The sequence below is a fragment of the Homo sapiens genome, chromosome 18 (genome assembly GCF_000001405.40).
Source record: "Homo sapiens chromosome 18, GRCh38.p14 Primary Assembly".
Classification (NCBI taxonomy): domain Eukaryota; kingdom Metazoa; phylum Chordata; class Mammalia; order Primates; family Hominidae; genus Homo; species Homo sapiens.
In genome coordinates, this window is record NC_000018.10 from 48,361,393 (window position 1) to 48,387,803 (window position 26,411).

Genomic DNA, 26,411 nt, shown 5'->3' on the forward strand with positions numbered 1-26,411 from the left:
CATCACAGAGTCTCAGAGCCCAGAGGAGGCTCGTGTTGATTCTTCCGTATAGTCTTTTGCTAAACATAGAAATCTAATGCACTCTTTTATTTGACATTGCCAAATATACCCAGGATCAGGCCTAAAACATATCATGGCATCTAATAAACATGCTTCCTAAATGTCCTCCTAGGTACATATGCTGCTCTGGAAATTCTGATGGGTCTTCTCTCCTCTCTCCCCTGATGCCCTGTTGAGAGGGCAGTGGGTCTCAACCCCAGGGCACACTGGAATCCCTTGGGAAACCTTTAAAGAAATATCAAGCCCAGGCTGCACACCAGCCCATGGGATCAGAATCTCTGGGGCTAGGGCCTAAACATCAGAGGCATCCAGGGCATTCGGCTGCTCAGAGAGGACTCAGAAGCCCGAGGTGGAGGAAAAGACAATCCCTGAAGGTTCATGGGATAAGCCAGGGAGAGGAAGGAACAGAAGCTGTGCAGATTCAGCAAGTGTGGTCAGACACACAGCCCTCCAGCCAGCACGGCAGGAGGAGACAATGAGGGGAACTGCCTCCCCTCGTGTAACTCCAGCGTTACCTGCCAGGGAGCATGTGCCTCTCTCAGGTGAGCTCCCATTCCACCTTCCCAACAGCTCCATCACAGGGAAGGCAGGCTTGGGCATGTCTCCTAGCAGATGAAGTGACTGAGGCTCGAAGACATGGAACTCCAGCCCCAAGTGTGGCCATCTTTATAGGCAGTCAACTGGAGGACAAGACCTCACTGACAGAGCAGAGCCCCTGGGACAGAGCTATCTCAGGTCCCTTTCAGTTGCCAAGGCCTTCCTGCAGCTGGGCATCTGTCAGTGAGCTGACAGTCCCTTTTCTCCCCAACAAACTCAAAGCAAACATGGTTTCATGCTTCCCATGGTCTGAACGTTTGTGTCTGTCTCCCCAGAATTCCTATGTTGAAACCTAATTTCCAATGTGATGGTGTGAGGAGGTGGGGCCTTTGGGAGGTGATTAGGTCACGAAGGTGGAGCTTTCATGAATGGGACTAGTGCCCTTATAATGGGCTGAAGAGACCAGAGTTATCCCTTTCCATGTGTAAGGGCACAGCTAGAAGGTGCCATTCTCTGAACCAAAAAGCAGGCCCTCACCAGACACCCAATCTGCCTTGGTATTGGACTTCCCAGCCTGCAGAGCCATGAACAATCAGTTTCTGCTGTTTATAAGCTCCCTAGTTTATGGCATTTTATTATAGCAGCCTAAACTGGCAAAGACAAAGCCTCCCTGGGGGAGTCCTTGTCACCTGCATTGCTGTGGCCCTTTTTCGTTTTCTAAAACAAGACGCATGGGTTAGTTCTAAGGTAACTCCACACACCCCCAAAACCAGCCTTTTGGCTCGAAGAAGGTACAGGAGTTCCTTACCTCCTACTCTAAACTAGCACCTTCTATGGTCTGTTGTGAGACAAGGGGCTTCAACGACCCACAAATATTTACCAGGACACAACTGAGAACCTAAGCTGTGCCAAGAAGGTGTGGCCGCTGCACCTGAGGGCCCACTGTCCAGCTGGGAAACATGACACGCACACAGCAAACAGGTAAACTGGACGAAGCTAATCTTAGATGCATTCCAGCTCTTGGGGAAGTTATTTAGTCTCTCTTTACCTCAACATCCTCTTCAAAACAATGGGGACAGGAATGCCAGAACCTTAGAGGGCAGTGTGGGATCGAATGAATTAATCCATGTAAAGTGCTTAGAACGCACCTGAAAGATACTGAGGCTCACTAAGGCTAGTGCTATTGCTGTTGAGGTTTTTGTGTTCTTGCTGCTCGGGAGGGAGGGACCCTCCTGCCTAGAGCAGTTTGGAGAGTGTTTCTATAGGAGGGTGGCCTTTTAAGAATGAATACAATTGAGAAGGGAGGCCACTATCTAGGAGGAAGCCAGAAAATGAGAAGTCCCGGAGTTGGAATGTGGACATTAATTTACTGTCAGGGAGCCATGAAGTGCAAGGCCCAGCCCCAGCCCCCACCCACCTAGAATTCCTGCTGCTGCTGCAGGATAGACCATGTTATTAAAGAAAATACCCCACAGGAACCTAAACCAAACAACTCTCGGCAACATGAGTTCAAGGAACCTTTGGCTCTATCTCCAAGGCAATTGAAAAGAGCTCAAAACAGATTAAAATATGAGATGAATTTTGAAGCCCAGGAAAGAGATAAAATGAATCCTGTGACTGAGGAGCCAATATGATTATTTCATTATTTGGTTAGAAAGTTAAAATGTGCAGGAAATGTCAGATGCTTTCCCGAGATGGAGGGAGGTTAGGGACAGCGTGGCCATTGGGGGTGTATTCTTTTTAATATTAAAACACAGCTTTACCCCTGACTTGGTTTTAATCAGAAAAACCTCACTGGTAGGGCAACCTGCCCTTCTGCCAGCCTACGTGATGTCTTTTTAAACATCCCACCCCTCAATCTTACCCCACCAACACAAAGCACATCTGTCTTTTTAAAAAACTCTCTCCCCCTTAATAAAACAAAACCCCACAGCCTCCCAGATGAAGGGTACCCTCCCATACCCACTCCACCCCTCAGGGCACCAATGATGGCCCAAAACCAGACCCACCCAGGAGAAAGCCCAGCTGCCAGCAGCTTCTCCTGCAGGCTTTCCCCACCTTGCCTGACCATTCATTCTCCTCTGGGGCAATGACCACTCTCACATTGGTTCCTGTCTAGGCCCCCTTGTGTCCTCATATCCCTGTCTTTGTGCCCAATACTCACTTGTCTCCTTGGTTATTTATTAAAAGATTCCAAGGTGCCAAATTGCAGGTTGCAGGGGGTGCTGGAGACACAAAGAATGGAAGGTTAAGTCCCTGCCCTCAGAGAGCTGACAGTCCAATAAAGAACACAGACGCACAGCGAGCAAAGGAACGGTGGGTCACAGCAGAGGGACAGGCTGCGGGAGCAAAGAAGGGCTGGTTCACCCATGCAGAGAGAGGATCAGGAAAATCCACCCACAGGAGGCAGCATTTGGGCCTGACCTTTGAGGGTGAGTGGGCTTTGATTATGCAAAGAGTACAGGAAATTCCAGATGGGAGCACAGAATTAAGCAAAGGCTTGTGGTCGAGAAATGTGACCCAAATCCCAGAGACACTGAAGAGACCAGTTTGACTGGCATGAAGAGGCCGTATAGGAGGTGAGGAAAAAAGCTAATGAGGAAGGCTGAGGTCAGATTGATGGGGCTTTTGCATTTTAATTTTTAAAATAAGTAATACATTAAATGGTTCAAATTCAGAAGACACAAAAGGATACAGTGAAAAGTCATCCTGCCATCCCTATCCCCTAGCTTTCCTATTTCCATTTCTTGTATATCCTTCCAGAGGTATTGTATGCAAACAGAAGTATGTATACACCTTTTACCTTTTGTGCACAAATGGTAGCATACCATATGTAATACATTGTTCTGCCTTTTTCCGTTTAATTATATAAATTATAAACCCAAAGTTTTCAAAATGGAGCATGTATCAGAATTACCTGGCCAGCTTACTAAACACAGTTTGCTGGGCCCCACTCCAAAATCTCTGATTCAGCAGGGCTAGAGTGGGGCCTGAGAATGTGCATTCTCAACAAGTTCCCATGTGATGCTGGTACTGCTGGTCCAGGAACCACACTTTGAGAACCCTGATATAGATCATGCTACATGGATTTACAAGGAGCTACAGTTATTCATCTTCATGGCTGTGTAGTAGTCCATCATTTGCATATACAGTGATGTGTTTAATCCATCCCCACCATTTTGGTTGTTTTCAATCTTTTACTGTTTCAAACAGTTCTGCAGGGATTACACTGGTGCTTTCATTATTTCACTCATGTGGAAGTACAGATCTGGGATAAAGTCTGGGTCAAAGGGTATATACACTGGCAATTTTGACAGATACTGCCAGATAGCATCCTGGGGAACATACCTTTGATAAATTCTGTCCTTTGAGTGTGAATGAGACCTGTGAATGACTTCCAATACAATATAGCAAAGGTAATGGGATGTCACTCTGTGATTATGTCATATTATATAAGACTCTGTCTGGCTAGTAGAGTGGCACTACAGACTCTCTATCTCCCTTTCTGGCTTTGAAGAAGCAAGCTGCCATGAATCCTACGGCTATAGGAACTGAATGTCGCCAATAACCATGAGAATAGAAAAGTGGATCCTTCCCCACTTGGGCCTCCAGATGAGAACCCAGCCCAGGCTGACACCTGGATTGCAGTCTTATAAGGAACCCTAAAGCATGGGACCCAACTATGCCATGCAGAGACTCCTAGCCCACAGAAAAAAAAAATAACTCTCTGAGATAACAAATGTATTAGTTCAAGCAGCTACATTTGTGGCAATTCGTTAGGCAGCCATGGATAACAAAAACAAACATTTAGGAGGGTGCTCAAAAACTAGGCCATAATAGTGAAAACCTGAAGTGAACAGGGGCAGAAAATGGTAACAGGGATAAGGGAGAAGATGTAGGAGATATTTTAGTAGAGGGCAGGGCCTGCAGGTTCATGGAGGGGCAGTCAGAGGGGCTTCCTATTATCAGGGGGCAAGACTGTTGGCCAATGTCCCTGAAACAGGTTCAATAAATTTTCATGAGATTATATCACACAGCAGTCTAAGAGGTGGAGAAACTGATATCCTTCCACCTTATTCCTCTCTAAAAGTGTACCTTCCCTTATAGATGGCTCTGAGATTACCTCAATGCAGCCTACCCAGGCCACCAGCTGCCATCTGCAATTTGCTGACAAGGCAGATTAGCAGCCACACAGAGAAGACCCATAATAAATCAAGGTGACATTTCAAACCAGTGGGGGAAAGATAGACTTTTCAACTAATTGTGTTGAGACAACTCAGGAATTATCTGAAAAAAGTTTGGATGACATGTATGAAAGACCTAAACAAAAAATGAAACTATAGAAAGAACTAGAAGAAAAATGTGAAAGACTAGCTGTAATATTCAGGTAGGAATGACTTTCAAAACATGACCAAAGCCCAGATATCATTTTTTAATAAAGGGCTACATCTGAGTTCAATAATTTTAAAATATACAACACTAGAAAATAAAGTAAAGCCAAAAGATAAATGACAAAATAGGAAAAAATATTTGCAACATACATGGCACGCAGTGGACTAATTTCCTTGCTACGTAATTATTGTGCATTTACAAACACGTACAAGTCCATAAGAAAGGCCAGCAACCCAAAAGGGAAATGTAAAATAAAGAAGAAATTGTCCATCTACAAAACAGGAAACATAAATGCATTTTCAACATTTGAAATGGTGCTCGTGCTCAAACAATGCAAGAAATTAAGACTACAAGAAGATCCAGTTTTCATATATCAGGTTGGCAAATATCAATAAATTTAAGTGCTTTCTAAACCAGCGAGTGTATAACAATTCTTATCTACAGCTGGTGAAGTTTAAATCAGTGCCACTACCATATATGTGAAAGGGCACACATACACATACATGTGCATGCTTACATATGTGAATATACACATGGACTCTCTTGAGAAGGACACACCGCACTGGTGACAGAGACTGCCTCTGCTAAAGGAACCATGTGACTACTGCCCCTACACAGGAGTGGAAAGGACACTTTTCACTGCTCTATTCCTTTTGTACTATATAAATTTTTCCAAGGGTATTTATGACATCTTCAGCAATTTTAAAAAATAATAAAGAAAAGGAAGTAGAGAGGGCTTCCCCTTCTGGGAAGATGAAGTAGACATGCTTTCCCCTGTTCTTCTCCCCAAGTTTTATATATATATATATATATATATATATACACACACACACACACACACACACACACACATACATACACACACACACACATATATAGTATATATGTATATGTATATGTAAATATGTATCTATACATATATGTATAGATACATATATGTGTGTATATATATACATATATGTGTGCATATATATATATATATATATATATAAAATACAAACAGAAGACTCTAAAAGGTAACAAGAAGAACACTATTGGCTAGGGATCATGTGACCTGGGAGACAGCAGGATGGTGAGTTTTCTGAGTCTTCTTTTGGTCTCATTTATCCCAGACTTGGAGATGAAGAAGCCAGCAACCTGGAAATATCAATGCGCACAGACAAGAAAAGCCTAACAAAAGCCTGCTCTCTCCAGCCAAATAACTAGGAAAGAGGCAGCCTAAAAAGATGAATCTGTTGGACAATAACTGCTCTATTCAGCCAAACAGCCCAGGAAACACTGCGGCCCACCCTCCCCATGTCAGCAAAGGCCACATGGGGAGCCTAGACTTCCACTCCAACCCAGCACTCCCTGCTGGGATGGTGTCAGAGGAGGCCTAATAGAGTCAGGATGTTTGCTAACGCTCAGCAGTAAGGAGACTACCCCAACCCCCAACCCCGTGTGGTGTCAGTGGGGGTCACATGGGGAGTTGTAATGAGGCACTCCAACTCCTTCCAGGAAGGTATCCATGGAGGGAGAGTGGGAAACCTGGACGTCAACCCTCACCTGGCAGTAATAACATGGTGCCCCCAGCCCTCCACTGGAGGAGAAAAAAAAAAAAAGCTAAAGCAGGTTTAAGTACAGTACACAGCCTCAAAACACAATACCAAAAATCTCCAGGTTTCAATCAAAAATTACTTATCATACCAAGAACCAGGGAGATCCCAAACTGAATGAGCAGAGGCAACCAATAGATGCCAACTCCAAGATGACAGACATGTTAGAATTATCTGACAAAGATATTAAAGTAGGCATCACAAAAAAATGCTTAAGCCAGCAACTCTGAACCTGTTGCAACCAATGAAAAGGAAGAAAGCCTAGCAAAAAAAAAAAAAAAATCAAATATAAAGAACCAAATGGAAACTTCAGAACCAAACAATGCAATAACCAAAACACAAAACTCAATGATGAGCTCGATAGCCAAATAGAGGAGACAGAGGAAAGAATCAGTAACTGATAGATAGAAAAAAAAAGTTACTCAATCTGAAAAATGAAAATAGACTAGGGGAAATAAAAGCCTCAGGGACCTGTGGTACTATAACAGAAGTTCTAACATTTCTGTCACTGGAGTCTCAGAAGAAAAGGAGAAAACGGGTAGAGCTGAAAAGGTGCTCAATAGTAGAAAACCTCCAAATTTGGAAAAAGATAAACCTACAGATTCAAGAAGCTGAGAAAATCTCAGACATAACAAACTTAAAGAAATCCCATGCCAAGACATGTCACAGTCAAACTTCTGAAAATTAAAGAGGAACAAAAAGTCTTGAAAACGTTCAGAGAGAAATAAAATCTTACCTATTAGGGGAAAAACAATTAGGAGGACAGCAGGTTTCTCATCAGAAACCATGGAGATGAAAAGGAAGCAGCACATTTTTCAAGTGTGAAAAGAAATCCTATTTCCAGTGAAAAGACCCTTCTGGAATGAAGGGAAAATCAAGTTATTCTGAGATAAAGGAAAACTAAGATAATCTGTCACCAACAGACTCACTTCTCTCCCCATCCCCTGGAGAAAAACGGCTAAGGTAAGGTCTTTAAACCAAAGAGAAAGATAAAAGAGGTACCTTAGGACAAGAGGAGGGAAGAAACACAGTAAGCAAGAGCATAGGCAAACACAATAGACTTTCTTTCTCCTCTTGAGTTTCTAAATTATATTTGACAGTTGAAGCAAAAATCATAATATTGTCTGATGTGGTTCTAAATGTATGTAGAACAAACATTTAAGACAATTACATTGTAAGTGGGGGAGGGTAAAGAAATATAAGAGGCAATAAGGTTTCTACACTTACTCAAGTTGGTAAAATCATGACACCAGTAGACTGTGATAATGTACACATAATGTAATATGTAGAGTATCTACTAAAAAATTATACAAAAATAAACTAAAAAATATATACATAAATCAAAGTAGAATTCTAAAAAATGTTTAAGTAACCTATAAAAGGCAAGAAAAAGAAAACAGAAATGAAAGACAGAGAGAATAGATAAAAAAATTAAATTGCATACTTAAGCCCTAACATATCAATAATTATAGTACATGTAAATGATCTAAAGATACCAATTTAAAAACATGACTCTGTCTACAAAAAATTCACTTTAAAAATAACAATATAGGCAGGTTACAAGTAAAAGGATGAAGAAAAAGATATGTCATGCAAACATTAAAAGAAAATAGAAGTGGTTATATCAATATGAGATAAAATAGACTTCAGAGCAAAGAAAGTTACCAGAGACAGAGAGGGATATTGTATAATGATAAAATGGTCAATCCACCAGAATATATAGCAATTGTAAATGTATATGTACCAAACAATAGAGTTGCAAAATATGTGAAGCAAAACCCAAAAGAACTAAAAAGAGAAATCCACAAATCCACAATTACACGTTCAGAGTTCAATACTACTCTCACAACAATTAATAAAACAACTAGACAATCAGCAAGCATACAGAATAACCCAACAACACCATCAACCAATAGAATCTAATCAACATTTACAGAACACTCAACCCAACAACAGCAGAATATGCATTATTCTCAGGTGGCCCCAGGATGTATACCAAGACAGATCATATCCTGGGCCATAAAACAAACCTCAACGAATTGAAAAAAATTAAAATTATACAGTGTGTTCTCAGGCTTCAGTGGAATGAATCAACTGGAAATGAATAACAGCAAGATAAGAGTAAAACTTCCAAATACTTAGAACCAAAGCAACATACTTCTGAACAATCCATGGGCCAAAGAGGAATCCAGATGCCCTTCAACAAGTGAATGGTTAAACAAACTGTGGCACCTACATACCATGGAATACTACTTAGCAATAAAAAAGAACAAACTATTGATACATGCATCAACCCAGACGAATCTTCAGGGAATTATGCTGAGTGAAAAAAAATCCAATCTGAAAGGATTACATAAGTATTATATGATTCCATTTATATAATATTCTTGAGATGACAAAATTACAGAAATGAAGAACAGGTTTCCAGGGTAAAGCAGGGAATGAGGGCAAGAGGGGAACAGTTAGCTACAAAATGGCAACAGGAGAGAATCCTTGTAGTGATGAAAATGTTCTCCATCTTGACTATATTTACATCAATATCCTGGGTGTGATATTGTACTATAGTTTCATAAGATATTGCCATTGGGGGAAACTGGGTTAAAAGTACACAGAATCCCTCTGTATTATTTTTGTACAACTGCATGCAAATCTACAATTATTGCAAAATAATAATCTTAATGAAAAAAAAATCCCTCCCAGAAGATGTGTCGATCAAGGTAACACTCTCAACACACACGCACATACAAACTCACACACACACTGCCTACGAAGGCCTTCAGCAGTCACCATATAAATTTGCACTGATTTTTAAGTCTGATGTGATTTTCTGTCTCTCTTTGGAGAGGCCTCATCCAGTCTCCTGTAAGGTCAGAGAAAGCACCTTTGAGATCTTTCACTTGGCCTCTTCAGGATCTTCCACAGTGTGATTCTTTCCATGGAAACAATCACTGAATTTGTAAAAGAAATCCAGAACCCACAAAGGAGAGAAAAGCAGGCACGAGGCAGGAGGTGATTCAAGACACATTACTGGAAGGACACGAAGCCCCTGAAAGTAAGTGTACAAAAGGGTAGGTGTGTGATACGTGATTCTCTGCATGTCTCAAGTTTTTCTGGAGAGAGAGTACCTAGCTTTCACTTATCTCTCAAAGGGGTTCATTTCCTGAAGAGGCGAGAGGAGGAAGCCTACACTCAATACCCAAAACCTACAGTTTCTGCAGCCCCAGGAACAACTGACAAGCTCTATCAAGCTGCAGGCCACCTTCTAGAAACTCCTCATAAGCCTCCTGGTGTTTCTGTCCCCAGCTGAAAAAATACTGCTCTGAAGACTGCTGGACCCTCATGATATTTTGTTTCCATCCTGTGGAACTGGAAATGTCAGGGCTGGGAACGAGCTTAAAGATCATCTCATTTAAAATGCCTATGCCCACCCAACTTACAGAAAGGGAAATTGAGGCCCAGGGACACAGGATGACTTCCCATGATCATTCAGACAATTAGCAGCAAAATTTAAACGAGAGCTCAAGTCTCCTCCTCCTGGCTGCCGGTTTTGGGACATTTGTCCCTTAGCCTGGCATAAGAGCCTGCCAATGGGCAGGATAACCAGGAAGAGAGTGGGAGCTGGGCAGGAGGACTTCCATGCCACATGATTGCCAGGGGCAGAGCTCAGTGAGAGCATGGCCAGGCACCAGATTAAAACCAGCACAGATATGCAGACGTTAATGAGCAAAAGCTTCCCCTGAAACTCCCTAGAAGTACTTCTGATGTGGCAGGTTTCATTATTCCTAAAAGACACAAATAGGTGGTAGCGAAGATTAGGAACACTGCAGAGATTTCATTACCCTGGAAGGTAGGCCATTAATCACCACTGTTTCCCAGAAAGGTTTCCATCCTGCCTCCAGCACCCATGGCTCCAATCGCCAGCTGATCACTCACTCCACACATGTTAACTGAGGACCTACTGAGTGCCAGGGGCTTGGAGGCCAGGAGACATGGTCCATCCTGAACTCTGAAGATGCCAATAACATCCACCAGCGGCTCTGCCCAGGTGCAACCATAACCCTGTGTCTGACACGTCAACAGGCCCTTCACTGACCTCCCCTCACCCCAGGGCTGCTCTCCTCCCTCACTGCCATGGCCAGCTATGGCTTCTCCAAAGCCCCAGTGCTCACCTGGCTGCAGTCTGAAAAGAATTTTGGAGCAGGAAGAGCCCTCACTGGACAATAGGAAGAGCCTCTGCCTGGCCTCCCTGCCTCTATGCTTGAAGCCCTCTAATTCATTCTATACTCCACTGCCACAGGAACATCCCAAATCACACATCAGACTACTTATTTTTCTGACTAAAATCTAAAGTCAGTGCTCAGCAAGTGTGCATGTGCCTCCTGACATTTCCCAGTCTCCTCTGCAGTTAGGCAGGGCCATGTGACCAGTTCTGGCCAATAGGCTATGAGTGGAACCGTGTCACTTCCGCGCTGAGGGAGTTAAAAGCTGATGTGACTTCTCCATCTTTCTCCTCCCTGCCATTGTGACTCTAGAGGAATCATCAGACTTCACAGAAGTAAAATTAAACCTTGACGTGGGTTAAGCTATTAAAACATTAGGAGTTGCTTACTGGACAGTTAGCAATGATTGACTAACAAAACTTCAGAGTGGCACCCCACTGCCCTCAGGATATGACAAGTGCCAAACTCCTCAACATGGCCATGGTCAGGGCCGTTAATGGTCTGCCCAGCCTCCCTCTCTGGACTGTCTCCTGGCCCTTTCTCTTCCTTAAACACACCCTGTCAATAATCATGATTCTACCCTATATGCAGGTCCTGGAGGCACCATGCCCCCTCCCACCTGAGAGGTCCCGTCTACATAGAATCCCCTTACCTCTCCCTACTCCCATCTCCTGTATGTGTCTGGCAAACTGGCAATCGTTCCTCAATACCCAGCTTACATGTCTCCATGTCCAACCCTCCCTGGACATGCTGGGGCCTTTCCTCCTGACCAGAGGCACTAAGAGCTCCAAGAGATTCCTTCACACTGCATTGTGGCTTTTTTGTTTTACTTTTCTGTGTTACCCACTAAATTGTGAACTCTGCACAAGCAAGAACAGTGTTTTCCTCCTCTTTATCTCCCCAGATCCCATGATATAGTTTGGATATTTGTCCCCATCCAAATCTCATGTTGAAATGTAATCCCCAATGCTGGAGGTGGGGCCTGGTGGGAGGATTTGATCTTGGGGGCGGATCCCTCACGGCTTGGTACGGTCTTTGTGATAGTGAGTTCTCACAAGATCTGGTCATTTAAAAGGTGTGGCACCTCCTGACCCCTCTTGCTCCTGCTTGTGCCTACTCCTCCTTTACCTTCCACCATGATGGCAAACTTCCTGATGCTTCCCTAGAAGCTGAGCAGATGCCAGCACCATACTTCCTGTAAAGCCTGAAAAACCATAAGCCAATTAAACCTCTTTTCTTTATAAATTACCCAGTCTCAGATATTTCAAGAGTTTAGAGAGGCCAGGGCAGAATGATATAGTTTGGATATTTGTCCTGCCCAAATCTCATGTTGAATTGTAATCCCCATGCTGGAGGTTGAGCCTGGTGGAAGTTGTTTGGATCATGGGGGCGGATTCTTCATAAATGGCTTGGACCATCCCCTTGGTGATAAGTGAGCTCTCATTCTGAGTTCACATGAGATCTGGTTATTTAAAAGTCTGTGGGCCGGGCACTATGGCTCACGCCTGTAATCCCAGAACTTTGGGAGGTCAAGGCGGGCAGATCACAAGGTCAGGAGATCGAGACCATCCTGGTAAACACGGTGAAACCCCATCTCTACTAAAAATACCAAAAATTAGCCAGGCATGGTGGCGGGGGCCTGTAGTCCCAGCTACTCGGGGGGCTAAGGAAGGAGAATGGCGTGAGCCCAGGAAGTGGAGCTTGCAGTGAGCTGAGATCGCGCCACTGCACTCCAGCCTGGGCAACAGAGCAAGACTCTGTCTCAAAAAAAAAAAAAGCATGTGGCACCTCCTCCCTCCCACTCTGTCTCTCTTGCTCCTGTTCTCACCATGTGAAAAGTGCCTGCTACCACTTTGCCTTCCACCAGGAGTAAAAGCTTCCTGAGGCCTTCCCAGAAGCAGATGCTGGTGCCATGCTTCCTGTACAGCCTGAAGAACTGTGAGCCAATTAAATCTCTTTTCTTATAACTTACCCAGTCTCAGGTATTTCTTTATAGCAATGTAAGCATGGCCTCATACAGCTCACCTCAGTGTCCAGTTCCTAGAAGCCATCAGAGGATGTTTACGAACACACAAATAGAGCCCACTTTAAAATCTTTCTGGAGAAGGCCACCTCTTCTGGAAGGAGAGAGGCATCAAGTTGCAGGAACTCTTCATGAAAGGAAGAGGCTTGAGGTGAGGAACAAAATGACCCATCATCCCACTGGGCTCTAGAAAAAGCTCTATTCTGATCTGGCCGGCTGTCTGCCGTAGGCTCTATGCCCCTGGGTGAGGCAGTCCATTCTTCCTCATCTCTGGGGTCCCTCCCAGCACCAAGTGATGCAGCTTTGAGCACTGGCAAGGATGCCTCTGCCATTCTCCCTGCTTTTCTTTTGGTCCCTCTCTTCCCCAGAAGCCTCCACTCAGAGTTCTTGGCTCATTTCCACTGAGCCTCTTATCTGTTTAACCAAAATCTGATAAGGTGTTCACCAGCCTGGTATTACTCTTCCTTGGGTATTTTACCTTAATACAGTGCCACTAAGACCCAACGGATGGGTGCTAATGGGGGGATTTTAGCCAACAAACAGGCAGTGGGACAGACATCTGGTCAGTGGTGATGGTTCTTTGGAAACATGCCTTCCCTGTACCCACCTCTCCCACCACCCATCACATAGCAGACACAAGAGCTGTGAGGCCAGCTAGACCCCGGCAGACAGCCGGCAGGGTGCTGGCCTGGAAGAGAGTTCATACTGGCGGAATATCCTGAGGGTGGGACCCAAGCTCTTCATTCCTCATTCCTCATTCCATGGTTTCTTTTATCTGGTATTTCTGGGCAAGACAATGAGCAGGCAGACTGGAAAGTTACAGGACAGCTTTGCCAATCCCTGCCAAAAATGCAGCAACACAAGCTGGAAGGAAGCTAGAAGGAGACTCGAGCCTCTTTTAATTTCCTCTTCTGTTTTGCTTGTGTGCACTCCCCCTACCCACCCTACTTATAGTCTTTTGTGCCCTTGGGCTCTAACTGCAAAGCAGAGCTACTTCCCAACCCAGATGTGGGGGAAACCCACCCGCAGTCTCTCCCCGCCTGGTGTGCTGGCCACATTCGGCAAGGCTCTGGCTCTCCCTTGGGCAGTAAGGACTCCTGGAAGCATGAGATCGACCAGGAAACCCAATTCCCAGGCCAAGCTGGACACACAGTGGGAAGGAAAGCTGGGTGGGTCTCTCCCTCTCTCCCTCTAGACTGAAGTCAGGACTAAACTGGAAGCAACACTGGGAAGCTGGTGGGTGGAAGAAAACCTTCCAGTTCCCTGCCTCCTCAAGCGAAGAGAGCCTTCGGAAGGTTGCCATGACCACTTAGCATACCTGCATCCTTTCTGGGCAGCTTCTGGATGTAGTTCTTCATGTTCTGTGTGTGTACACATACACACACACACAGCAATTGCAGGTAGGAGTGGCAGAGAAAAAGCGAGATTGGGTTGAAATGCTGTCCTGTCTGGGCAAGTTATTTAACCACACTGACCCTCAACTTCCTCCTCTGCAAACTGGAGATAATTTGCAGAATTGTGGTGAGGATTAAATGAGACAAAGCTCCTGCTATGAGATTTGCATGGAGAGGGCTCTCCATAAATGTGAACTCCTTCTCGGATCCTGGCAACCAGTTGTCACTTGAAAATGACACACTAGGAACTTGAAGACTTGGCTTCTGGTCCCAATTCTGCCATCAACTACTAGCTTGGAGACCTTAGGCAAGTCATTTACCCTCTGTGTTTTTCTGTCTCCTAATCTTTAAGAGCAGTGTTTCTCAAATGGTAGTGTGCATCAGAATTGCCTGGAAGGCTTGTAAAATGCAGATGGCCAAAGTTTCTGCTTCTGCAGTTCTGGGGTGGGACTGGGGAATTTGCTTTCCTCACCAGCTCCCAGGTGATGTGGATGCTGCTAGTCCCGGGACCACACTTTGAATCTAAGAACTGTTTCCAGTTCTAATGGTTAAATAAGTATTTTAAACTAATCCATATTAAGTTGTTGTGACTGACACTTGTTTAATATGTTCTTCTTATGTCCATTCGCATTTTAAATATCTTAACCTAACACAATCATCTACTTCTAAGTTGGGTACAAAAGAGCCCTAGAGTCTGCGACAGAAAAGATGATTCGGAAGGAAGGGTTTTCCGGGCCTCTCCAGCCACGCTGTGTAGATGCCCTCTAAGAAGCAGATCGTTTGAAAAACCAGCTTCCCACGTGACTCAGCTGCAGTTGGTTAATTACTGTTTTGGGGCACGATGTCTGAGGCCAAGGGAAGGTCTCCGGTTGCCTAAAATCAGCCCATGGCCAGGCCCTATTGCTGGAAGCAGGACTGTCACTCAGCCGGTGACATTCTCAGTCCCCTCCCACCCCTCCTCTCTCAGGGCTCTGGAGAGCAGCCTCCTGCCTGGGGTGGACGGCAGACCCCAGGGCCTGCAGCCTGGAGGCTGTCACTCTGCAGTGGCTCTGCAGTCTGGGTGTACAACCCCTTGCGGCTTTGCTTCCTGCTTTCCTGTGGCTGTAAGGCCTGTCCAGCCAGGTGGCCAAACTCTGTAAATGCTGTTGTCATTCTGCTGATGCTCTGGGCCTTGCTTCAGGGAAGAGAGCTACCCCAGGCATCAATTAGAGAGTAATGACACCCTCCTCCTCAGCCTCTCGCCTGTCTCCTGCCCAACAGGGCCTTCTGCCTCTGGTGCACAGAAACGCAAAGAGGGCAGACATTGTTAGGTAGTAACACCTCCATCCCCACCACAGTCTCCATATTTCTAATGGCAAAAAACTCAAGTACGTGGACAAGGTCTTCAGGGAGAAGGTCTGAGAAAGAGGGTTCCCAGAAAGAATCCAGGGGCTGAAAGCAGGGCTGAGATCAAGCCCTCAGGGACTCAGCCTGGGCCCCCACACCAGGCCTCCTGCAGGTTCCAGAGGATGGGGGAGGCGATGCTCTGGCAACCCCACTCCACCCCCCAACAGAGCATCATTCCACAGACCACTTTGTTCTGTTTGTTCATGCTGCAAGTATTTCTTAAGAGTCTACTCCAGTCTGGGTATTGGGTCAGGTGCTGGAGATCTAAAGATGAACAAGAGGTAGCCCCCAGAATCTCCTGATCTAACACAGGGAGAGAGCTGTACGAATTATCATAAAAAATGCAGTGAGGGAAATAAATGCAAAGTCTATGTGAACTCAGGAGAGAGTTAACTCTGCTTGGGGAAGGGGGTGGGAGAAGCAAGAGAGCATTACTGAGGAGGTGACATTTGAACTGGTCCTAAAGGACAAATAAGAGAAAACATGTCTGGACAGAGGTAATATTCAAAATCTTCAACAACTGCTAAGGCCCACACTGGGCCCAACCAGAACAGAAGCTGATTAAATATGACTAAACATTTGCAACTACTTTTACTTCCTCCCCAAACCCTTTTAGAACAACAGTATTTAAAAATTAAGCATAAATACACAAGAATGGGAAGAACTGGAGAAGAAACAAAGTAATAACCGCTTTTGGAAGCTGGAGATCAGATAGACAAGTGGTAAATGGCTCAGAAATCCCAAAAAGCTGAATTCTAAGTCAGCAGCGGAAGAAGCTGAGAACCACCCCCATTTAAACTGCAAAACCCTCTTAACAGCTCAGAAATTGGTGGTACCAATCCTTCTTGAAAGCAAGAGTAAAAAGGAGAGAGGTAAAATAAGAAAGGTCGGGCCAGGCACGGTGGCTCACGCCTGTAATCCCAAAACTTTGGGAGGCCGAGGTGGGCAGATCACCTGAGGTCAGGAGTTCAAGACCAGCCTGTCTCTACTAAAAATACAAAATTAGCCAGGCGTGGCAGCATGCACTTGTAATCCCAGCTACTCAGGAGGCTGAAGCAAGAGAATCACTTGAACCCGGGAGGCGGAGGTTGCAGTGAGCCGAGATCGCATCCTGGGCAACAAGAGTGAAACTCCGTTTCAAAAAAAAAGGAAGGTTGGTTAGCAGTCTGCTTAGGAAAGTTAGAGTTTCTTCTCTGATTAGTGACTGTCCCTTGCCCAGACCAGCAGAAGATGGAGTTTTATTCTTTGGAAAGACCAAATAGAGGCTTTCTGGACTGGGAAACACCAAGTAGAACTGAGGAGAGATCTGCCACACTGAAAACAGGGGGATTAAAGAACATTCACTTACATTCCCATTACTGAGGCTCCAGTCTTCATCCACTAGGCACTCAGAGCACCAACTCTCAGCACATTACCCTCCAGGCAGAAGGTGGATGAGCCTTCTCTGAAGACCCCAACCCAGCTAAGAAGAAAGACTTTACAATACTGACATTGAAGATTCCACAAGAAAAAGGCCCAACCAGATGGTTCTCCAATAAAACCCATTGCCATCACATCCTACCTGCACTCGGAGATTTTTAAATATATGCAGATAAACAAGAATAACTGGATGACTAAAGAAAGCTTCAAAATCAAACAACAGAGACCAAAACAAACAACTTGGAAAGAACAGAGACTGCAGGAAGAAAAAAAACTTAAAAAAAATTACCATTAATTTCCTCAGACAGACAATATGCAATCATAAAACAAGAACAGAATGCTATAAAATGAACATTCAGAGAATAGAAACAAAAATTCTTGTAAATTAAAAATATAATAAATGAAGTACTCAGTAGGGAGTTGGAATATAAAATTGAGGAACTCTTCCAGAAAGTAAAGCAAAAGACAGAGATGGAAAAGAGGAGAGAAAAGTCAATAAAACTAGAGGCTAATATAAGTGTTCTGAGCATGTTTAGGGTAGGCTAGGCTAAGCTATAATGTTCAGTAGCTTTTCAAAAATGCATTTTCAACTTATGATATTTTTAACTTATGAGGGGTTTATTAGGACATAATCCTATGGTAAGTTAAGGAGCATCTGTATAGCATTCAATCATTACAGTATCATTTATTAATAAGACTATCTTTTCTCCATTAAGTTGTCTTTCCTCCTTTGTCAAAGATCAGTTGACTACATTTGTGTGGCCTCTTTCTGGGTTCTCTATTCTGTTCTATTGACCTATTTGTCTATTCTTTTGCTAATACCACCCCCTCTTGATTACCATAGCCTAAATTAGCCTGGAAACTGGGTAGTATGCATTCTTCAACTTTGTTCTTTTTCAGTATTGTATCAGTTATTCCAGATATTTGCTTTTCAATATAAACTTTAGAATTACTTTGTCAATATCTACAGGGATTTTGACTGAGATTGTGTTGAATCTGTAGATAAAATCAGGAAGAACCAATATCTTACTATGGAGTCTTCCTATCCATGAACATGTTCGGTTTTGTTTTTTACCCCAGTGTTCTGAAACGTCATGATGCTGTGCTTTGCCTCATAGTGGATCTATTTTTATCAGTTGTGCTTTTATCTTTATCTAAGGTATTGAAAAAGCACAGGTTTTTGACAGAAAAAAATTGGTAAGGTGGACTTTATTAAAATAAAAACCTTCAGATCTATGAAAGACACTGGTAAGAGAATAAAAAGACAAGGCCCAGATTAAAAGAGAATATGATGTGCAATACACACATCTGAAAAAAGACATGTATCCAAAATATTCAAACAACTCTTAAAACTCAACAATAAGAAAACAAATGCCCCAATTAAGAAATGGATAAAGATCCAAACAGACTCCTCATCAAAGAAAACATACAGATAGCAAATAAGTACATGAAAAGATGCTCAACATAATTTTGGTAAGGAAATTGTGCATTTAAACAACAATAAAACACTGCCACACACCTGTAAGCTATTTAGGGTCATGAAACTATTCTATATGATACTGTAACAGTGAATATAAGACAGAGAATAAGCATTTGTCAAAACCCACAGAACTTTATAGCACAAAGAGTAAACCTTAATGTACGAAAATTGTTTTTAAATCATTTAGGAGGTGGAGGAAGCCCAGGATGGAATGTATAATTTGACAAAAAAAATCTAAATGTATTAGAAATATATGAAACAAGCTCACTGAAGAGGTCAGGGAATAAGGTGCTGACCTTAGTAGTTTTGGAAATAAGCAGAATGTATAAGACTAAAGGCAAAAGGAACCATACTCTAGTTTGATAGAGTTTTTTCCCATGAGGATATAGGTTAACAATTCTGAAACGGCTACATGCGTATATGGGAATTGAATATTAAATAAATGGATGGCAGATGGTGGGAGCCAGGTTTCTCACTGTTGGAATGGGAAGTTACAAATAAGCAAAGGGAAGAGACTAAAACAATCCATGAGATGATGGATTAGTCGGAGACATCGGTATGAACTCATGTTTACCTTGACATAAATACAAGTGGTTACATATAAAATATTTACAGACATACATATGTACAGTGGTTAGTACACACACATATATATCCATGCTCTGTCATCTGAGGGGGCCTAGAAGCAATGACAACCCAGTAGCAATGAGCACACCTAATTATTAGAAGCCTTGGTTACAAACAGTCACAGCCAAGAAGAGTCTAAGGAGATATGACGACTAAATGTAATGTGGTATCCCGATGGGATCCTGAAACAAGAAAAACATTAAGGGAAAACTAAGAAAATCTGAATAAAGAATGAAATTTAGTTAATGATAACATACCAATATTTGTTGTGACCGATGTACCATACTAATATAAGATATTAAGAATAGGGCAACTGGGTATGACGTATACGAAAGCTCTCTGAACTACCATCACAATACTTCTGTAAGCCTATAACTATTCTAAAATAGTTTATTTAAAAGAAAAAAACTCCTACCACCTTTTGGAGAGAAAAAGCAGGACATGTACAGAGAATCAGGTATCAGAATAGTTCCAGATTTCTCAGTGAAATCTAAAATTATGAAGGAAAATTATGTCCAAGCTAAAATTCTATATCCAACCAAACTATCAATCAAGGGTGATGGTAGAATAAAGATACTTGAAGACATTCAAAGTTCCAAATAATGTATGTTCCATGTACTTCTTCTTAGGAAGCTCCTGGAGGATATGCTCCACAAATACAGAGGGATAACCAAGAAAGAAGAGGCCATAAGATGTATGAAACAGAAGATCCAACACAGGAGAGAATCAAAGAATCCCAGGTATGATGGTAAAAGGTGGCCCCAAGATGATAGCTATGCACCAGGCACAGGTATCAATCAGTCCAGATTGGAGCACATCAGAGACACAGAGAAATTTCTGTAAAATAATCTGAACATTTTAAGAAGAGATTTAGATAACTGGTAGAGATCCAGAGGTTGAAGTAGTAATAAGTACATGGAATCATAAGCAAATAAAATAATGTAATAATCAACTCTAGGGAAAACAAAGAGTAATTCAAGAAAGGAACAGAATCACAGAGATACTGGATGGCTTACCTGGGAAGAGTGTGTACACAGTCACAACAACGTAACTACTCAATATTTATTTCACCAAAATTATGACATAAATATGTTGGGAGGATGAGGGAGGTAATGGGCCAGTTAGCTTTTGCTAGGTTATATTGCAGTAACAAAAGAAATCACAATAACTTACAAGAACAAAAGTATTTCTCACTCATGTGACATTGAAGGACAGCTAGGAGTCAGCTGTGGCTGCTCCACATGTCTTCTTCACTCTAGGATCTAGGCTGAAGGACTGGCCACTCTTTGGGACATGTCCATTTTCTTGGCAGAGGGAAAAGAGTAACTTAACCTGATCACACAATGGCTTTTAAGCTTCTGATCAGAAGCGGCATATAGCAGTCCCACTCACATGCCACTGACCAAGTGATCACACGACCAGGCTCAATGTCAATTGCATTATTCCCTCCATAGGAATGAAAGTCATATAACTACGGAAAAGGCTTGTTATCCATTGATGGGGGAAAACAAATAAATTGGAAACAATAATACAATTGATTAATACATACGTGCACTGTAGTGCAAGTGGTAGGTAGGTGCAATGAAAGAGAGCTAAATTTTCACCTTCCACTAGTAGGAAGCCAATACTAGTGGGAAGCCAATGCCTAAAACTGAAAAATCAAGATGTAGCCATTTACACATGTGATTTAGAAATATGGCTATAAGCACAAAAATTCAGGAGAAAGAATGGAAAAGAGTAGCTTCTGAAGATGGAGATAGGCTAGGAAAGCAGGGGATTATTGTTTTTCATACGTTTTTAAAAACCATTTGCTAAGAATTACTAAAAAACGACAAATAATGAGGCCAAGCCAATATCGCTAAACTTCACTATGCCACGGCTATTTCCACTCTGTTTTTGATAGCAAGAAGTATTAATATATAAATCTCTTTAATGTAAAACAAAGAAAGTGAAGTTGTCGACAGCTACTATTATAAAAACGCTTCTTCAAAACCTACCACTTAGTGTCCCACATCCTCGGTGACGACACTCCTTCCTACATAAGAGAAACCTAAATATTTTACTTTTCTCAGTCAACTCTGTATTATTCAAGCCACAAAAGAAGGTTGATGATGCAGAAACCCTAATAGAATATAACTCAAAAGTCACACGAATGACTTTGCATGCATGCATGTTATTGCTGTGCAGGAAATTTGCCCTACTAAGTATGCATAACTCCAGCTAACACTTAAATTCTTTGCTTATATACAGATTAGGTTAGGACAAACTATACTAATGGCCCATGGAATAACAGAGCTTAGAAGTAAAAAACTACCTAGAATGATAAAACGTAAGCAGCTGACCAGGAGTTAACATTCGTTTTCCCCTTCTATACTCTCAAGGTATGCCCTGCAACTTGAAAAGTGTAAAAGTGACAGGCAACATAAACATTTTGATTGTTGAGTAACAGGAACTCAAATTTGGCGTGATATTTTCTCCTTAATTTTGCCAGGCCACATGTGAATTTTCATTTACAGGCATGACATTGCGCCTGCTTCCCTAACCTGAGCAGAACTGGAGGTAACAGCATCTTAGCCTCAGAAGACCATGAGTCCAATTGTCAGCCCGACCCTCAAACCCACCAGCCTACTGGCCTAGGTCAATACAGAATTCCCCTTTATTAATAACCCCTTACAGAATCCCCCTCACAAAAAACAAAAACTTTTGTAGGAAACTAATTCAATTACAATCTTTTATTTATTTATTTATTTATTTAAGGCAGGGTCTCACTCACTCTGTCACCCAGGATGGAGTGCAGTGGCGCGAACTCGGCTCACTGCAGCCTCGACCTCCCAGGTTCAAGTGATCCTCCTGCCTCAGCCTCCCGAGCAGCTGGGACTACAGGCACACACCACCACCCCTGGCTAATTTTTGTATTTTTAGTAGCGACAGGTTTTCACCATGTTGGCCAGGCTGGTCTCGAACTCCTGAGTTCAAGTGATCCGCCTGCCTGAGCCTCCCAAAGTGCTGGGATTATAGGCATGTGAGCTACCGTGCCTGGCCAAGTGCAATCTTTTTCAAACTGATGGGGCTTAAGGATAGAAGAATATTTTTCACTACATTTCTTTTCATACTTTTTGATGTTTGGATTGCCTAAAATTAAATATTTAAGGCACCGAAAAAGGTGGGGTGGGGAGAAAGGCACCTGAGTCTGGCACGTTGTAGAAACAGCACACAGCAGAGTTTGATCGGGGTTGTGGTGCCTAGGTAAGGCTGGAAGGGAGCTCTGGAAGCCAGGCTGGATGGAGCCTCATGACTTCCCTCAGCACACGGCAGAGTGTGATCAGGGTTGTGGTGCCTAAGTGAGGCTGGAAGGGAGCTCTGGAAGCCAGGCTGGATGGAGCCTCGACCTAAGCATGGGTATTAGAAAGATAATCCTGGGGACGAAATAACTTTAGGGATCAGAACTAGTGGGGACAGATACTCTGTGCTTGGTTATTTGTGCATTGCCTCATGTGAAATCAGGAGCCTGAACTAGAGCAGTAACAACAAACGTGGAGCCAGTGGGAAGAAGTCAGGAGATATTCAGGGGGTCAAATCAACAAGACTAGAGAACTGCTTCATTGACAAAGGTGAAGGGAAGAAGGATGGAAATAAGATACAAGGCTTGAGCAACGGTCAGCTTTGGGTTTAGTCCCCATCCCAGGACAAGCCCCACCCACAGCCTCTAACAAGGCAGAAGGCACTTTGTCCATTGTCTCAGTCTTCTGAAGTGTACTTGGCAAGCATAGCTTTAAGACAAATCTATCCGCACTCATACCTAGGAGCCAGACTGCTCCCTGGAGCTCCCACCACACTGGGAACTGAGGGATTCAGAACACGACTGGTGAAGCTATATAGAGGCAGGAAGAGACTTGTTTTTGAAAGGGCAGTCTGCCCCTTCTCCCTCTCAATACATTCCTAGAATAGAGGCTATTGGAGACTGAAGGGTGTGGTTAGAAAGTTGGGAGAGGGATTGCTGAAGATGTAGTACAGGCTTGTCCAACCCACAGCCTGTGGGCTACATGCGCTTTGAATGCAGCCCTACACAAATTCGTAAACTTTCTTAAAACGTGATTTTATTTTTGCAATTTTTTTTTTAGCTTATCAGCTATCATTAGTGTTTAGTGTTTTTTGGTTTGTTTGTTTGTTTTTTGAGATTGAGTCTCGCTCTGTCACCCAGGCTGGAGTGCAGTGGCACCATCTTGGCTCACTGCAACCTCTGCCTCCTTGGTTCAGGCAATTCTCACGCCTCAGCCTCCCGAATAGCCAGGTTTACAGGCATGCGCCACCATGCCCGGCTAATTTTTGTATTTTTAGTAGAGACGAGGCTTCACCACCTTGGCCAGGCTGGTCTCAAACTCCTGGACTCTAGTGATCCACCTGCCTCAGCCTCCCAAAGTGCTGGGATTACAGGCATGAGCCACCACGCCCAGCCAGTGTTAGTGTATTTTATGTGTGGCCCAAGACAATTCTTCCAGTGTGGCACAGGGAAGCCAAATGATTGGACACCCCTAAGCAGCAGAAGGTCATGTGAGATGATGACTCATGGTGCTAGGTGCAACCTCACATCATGGTTGACATACCCAAATGCACCCACATCCTTCAGATGGGGTTACCGCGATGGCCTTGGAGTTGAGGTGAGCAGCAGGGACCTCATATGATATTTTGTATATACCTTATTCCGTCTTTACTACTTTCTGGTCTGTAGCTCTTTTTTCAATTTAGAGTCAATATTTTTCTGTTTGGGCCAAAAGTATTTTTATAGGCCACAAATCACAGTACCTACAATGTCCTGCAGTGCGTGGCCATTAGAAAGCTGGCGATGACCTCTGCTGAGGCTGATGGGGGTCGCTGATGAGAACACCATGAGGAGGAGCTACAGTCAAGGCCTCAGTTCCTATCCCAGCCAACTGGTTATGCCCAGCCCAGCCATGACAGATCTCATTTGGGGGTACAGCTGGAGAGAGTGGGTAGCACCACAGAAAGTCACCCCCCTTGCAAGTCTAAATGCACATGCTGTTGTGAAGTGGGCAAACATGCCCTGCACAAAGGCAGGCCCGCCCGGAACGCATGCACCATTCAGAGTGTAAGGTAGCAGGGCAGAGATGGACATATGCAGAGAAGTAACTGAAGCACACAAAAGGCCCCTTTAACCTTTTCCAGCTAGCGGTTCAGAAATACACAGGAAACCCTCGATATTTGCCGAGTCGTGATTTGTGGTTTCAAACATGCACAAGGCTGCCTGCTTCTCACTCCTCGCCAGCCCACACGACGTGCTGCTGGCAGCCAGGGTGGCAGACACACGGCCCATGTGTCTCTACAAAGCTCCCTCAGAGTGGCCTTTTCAGCTGCCCTGATTCCATGACGGGGAGATTCTTCCCCCTCCCCACAAATCCACTCATTTTTAACCCCTTATGGTTAGTCACAGATATTATACAATATGTGAACTAGAAGGCAGAGGTCTAAGACACCTAATCTCCACCTTTTCTGGTTCCTTACCCATTATCCTCCATTCCACCCCTGTCGAGTGCAATCAGGAAGACTGTCTACTAAGAATAGGCTGCTCTCTTTGGTTAGCACACTGTAGGCTGAACTCTGACTGTCAAAAAAGGCTTCTCCATCCATCCCAAGGATAATCAGTACAGTTGTGCTTGACTCAGGACAATCTGCCCTCTTCCCTGGCCCCCACAGCCCCCTGCTCAACCATCACTAATAGCAAGAATCTTCCACGCTAGATGCTGAAAGGCAGAAATAACAGACAGAGAAGAGCAGAGGGCAAATGCTGAGCGTCCACAGGGGAAGAACATGCACCAGCCCAAGGTCCAGGTGAACTCGGATGCTAAGCCTATTGCTTCCATCCACTCAGCAAGTACAGTGCTTACCCTAGACAGTGAGTGGATGTCAACAAAGTGGTACTGATACTTGCCAAAGAGATGAATGCCATCTAAGCTGAAGAGACTGGGTTTACCCACAGCGACCATATTTTTCAAACCACACATCAGAGCCATTCTGGAAAATCCAGCCCATAGAATAGCAGGAGATATACAAAAACAACCTTGAGTGTAGGATGATGGGATGCAGCCATGTATACAGATGTGCTGGGAGAATGCAATTGGTTACGTGAATAAATTCAAGAGCCACACATTGCCCCGTCTCTGCAAGGACGCTCAGTCAAAGATGCAGAGTTTTGCAACCTAAGATAATTGAAAGGAAATTCTAGCCTTATTGTGCTTCATCTCAAAAAAATGTTATCAGACACCACTTGATAACCAATAGAAATATTACTCAAATTGCGCTTTCTATCTTCCCAAGTCTCCCACACCTCTCTGGAGTCTGTCCTTTGCCAAATCTTCCAAACCCTCCCAGATGCCCAGCATGCAGCTACTCTGTTGTCGCTCTGCTTTCTCACTCCACGGTGCTATAGGAGTAATTAGTTCCAGTGGAATAATCTAGGAAGACTTCTCGGAGTAGGAGGCATGTGTGGTGAATTTCAAAAGATGAGTTGGATTTTAATAGAAGTGAAGTAAAGAACATTCAGGTTGAGGGGCTACAATAAGCAAAAACCAGGATGGGGAATGACATATCATGTCATGTTCAGGAACAGCAAAGTAGTTGGAGTCAGGGTATGCAAAGATGCAGAGACAATGAGACTACAGAGGCAATCGAAGTCTGGTCAAGAGTGGATTTGGAGGTCTGGTTTCTGAACTCATTGGAGGGTTTTTTGGTAGAAAGGTAAAGTGTGCCGAATAGCATTCCAGGAAGCCCCACTGGGTGGATTAGAGAGGAGGAGACCAGTAAGGAATGTACTGCATTAATCTACCAAACCAGCCTCCACTTTAATAGATGCTCAAAATGAATGGGGTTTTATTTCTAACAGGCAGTTGTAATGGAGACTACTGGAAAACACGGTCATCTGAAATCCACAGATAGCTGCCAGGTCTCATTTTATCATCACTTACAGCTAGCTGCCTCCTACCATGAATCTCTTCCCTGAACTTCACTAAGTTGCAAAACAGATGAATTTGACCTTCATGTCTCTTTGCCTCTATCTTCCTTTGAGACAGAGAAACTAACATGAAGATGGGCCAGAGAGGAGGTGCAGCAAGAAGAGGAAATATGAGCCTGGGCACTATAACCTGCATGCACACAGCAAGGGCTAGCTTTATCAGAAGCGGCAAACCAGCTGACAGCAAAACAGAATAAACAGTACCATTTGACAAAAAGCATGGTTTTCGCCCTCTATGCTGGTCTAGTTGG

The 26,411-nt window shown here is 43.6% G+C and overlaps 1 protein-coding gene and 1 long non-coding RNA gene across 16 annotated transcripts in view; one reads left to right on the forward strand and one right to left on the reverse strand.

Moving 5' to 3' along the window:
- Nucleotides 1-26,411, reverse strand: part of ZBTB7C (zinc finger and BTB domain containing 7C) — a 385,914-nt gene that overhangs the window by 334,721 nt on the left and 24,782 nt on the right. For 2 of the 15 annotated variants that reach the window (NM_001371291.1, NM_001371290.1), the window contains exons 1-2: nucleotides 14,146-14,235; nucleotides 2,762-2,822 (exon numbers count right to left, since the gene is read on the reverse strand). The exons of the other annotated variants lie outside the window; for them this stretch is intronic. The gene's annotated coding sequence lies outside the window, so the exon portion shown is untranslated. Of the gene's footprint in view, nucleotides 1-2,761; nucleotides 2,823-14,145; nucleotides 14,236-26,411 lie in introns of those variants that run through there. 15 annotated transcript variants of the gene reach the window in all.
- Nucleotides 1,507-26,411, forward strand: part of LOC124904353 (uncharacterized) — a 30,633-nt gene continuing 5,728 nt past the window's right edge. Inside the window, exons 1-2 of the long non-coding RNA XR_007066458.1 lie at nucleotides 1,507-1,578; nucleotides 19,763-19,873. This is a non-coding gene — a long non-coding RNA (uncharacterized LOC124904353). The remainder of the gene's footprint in view (nucleotides 1,579-19,762; nucleotides 19,874-26,411) is intronic.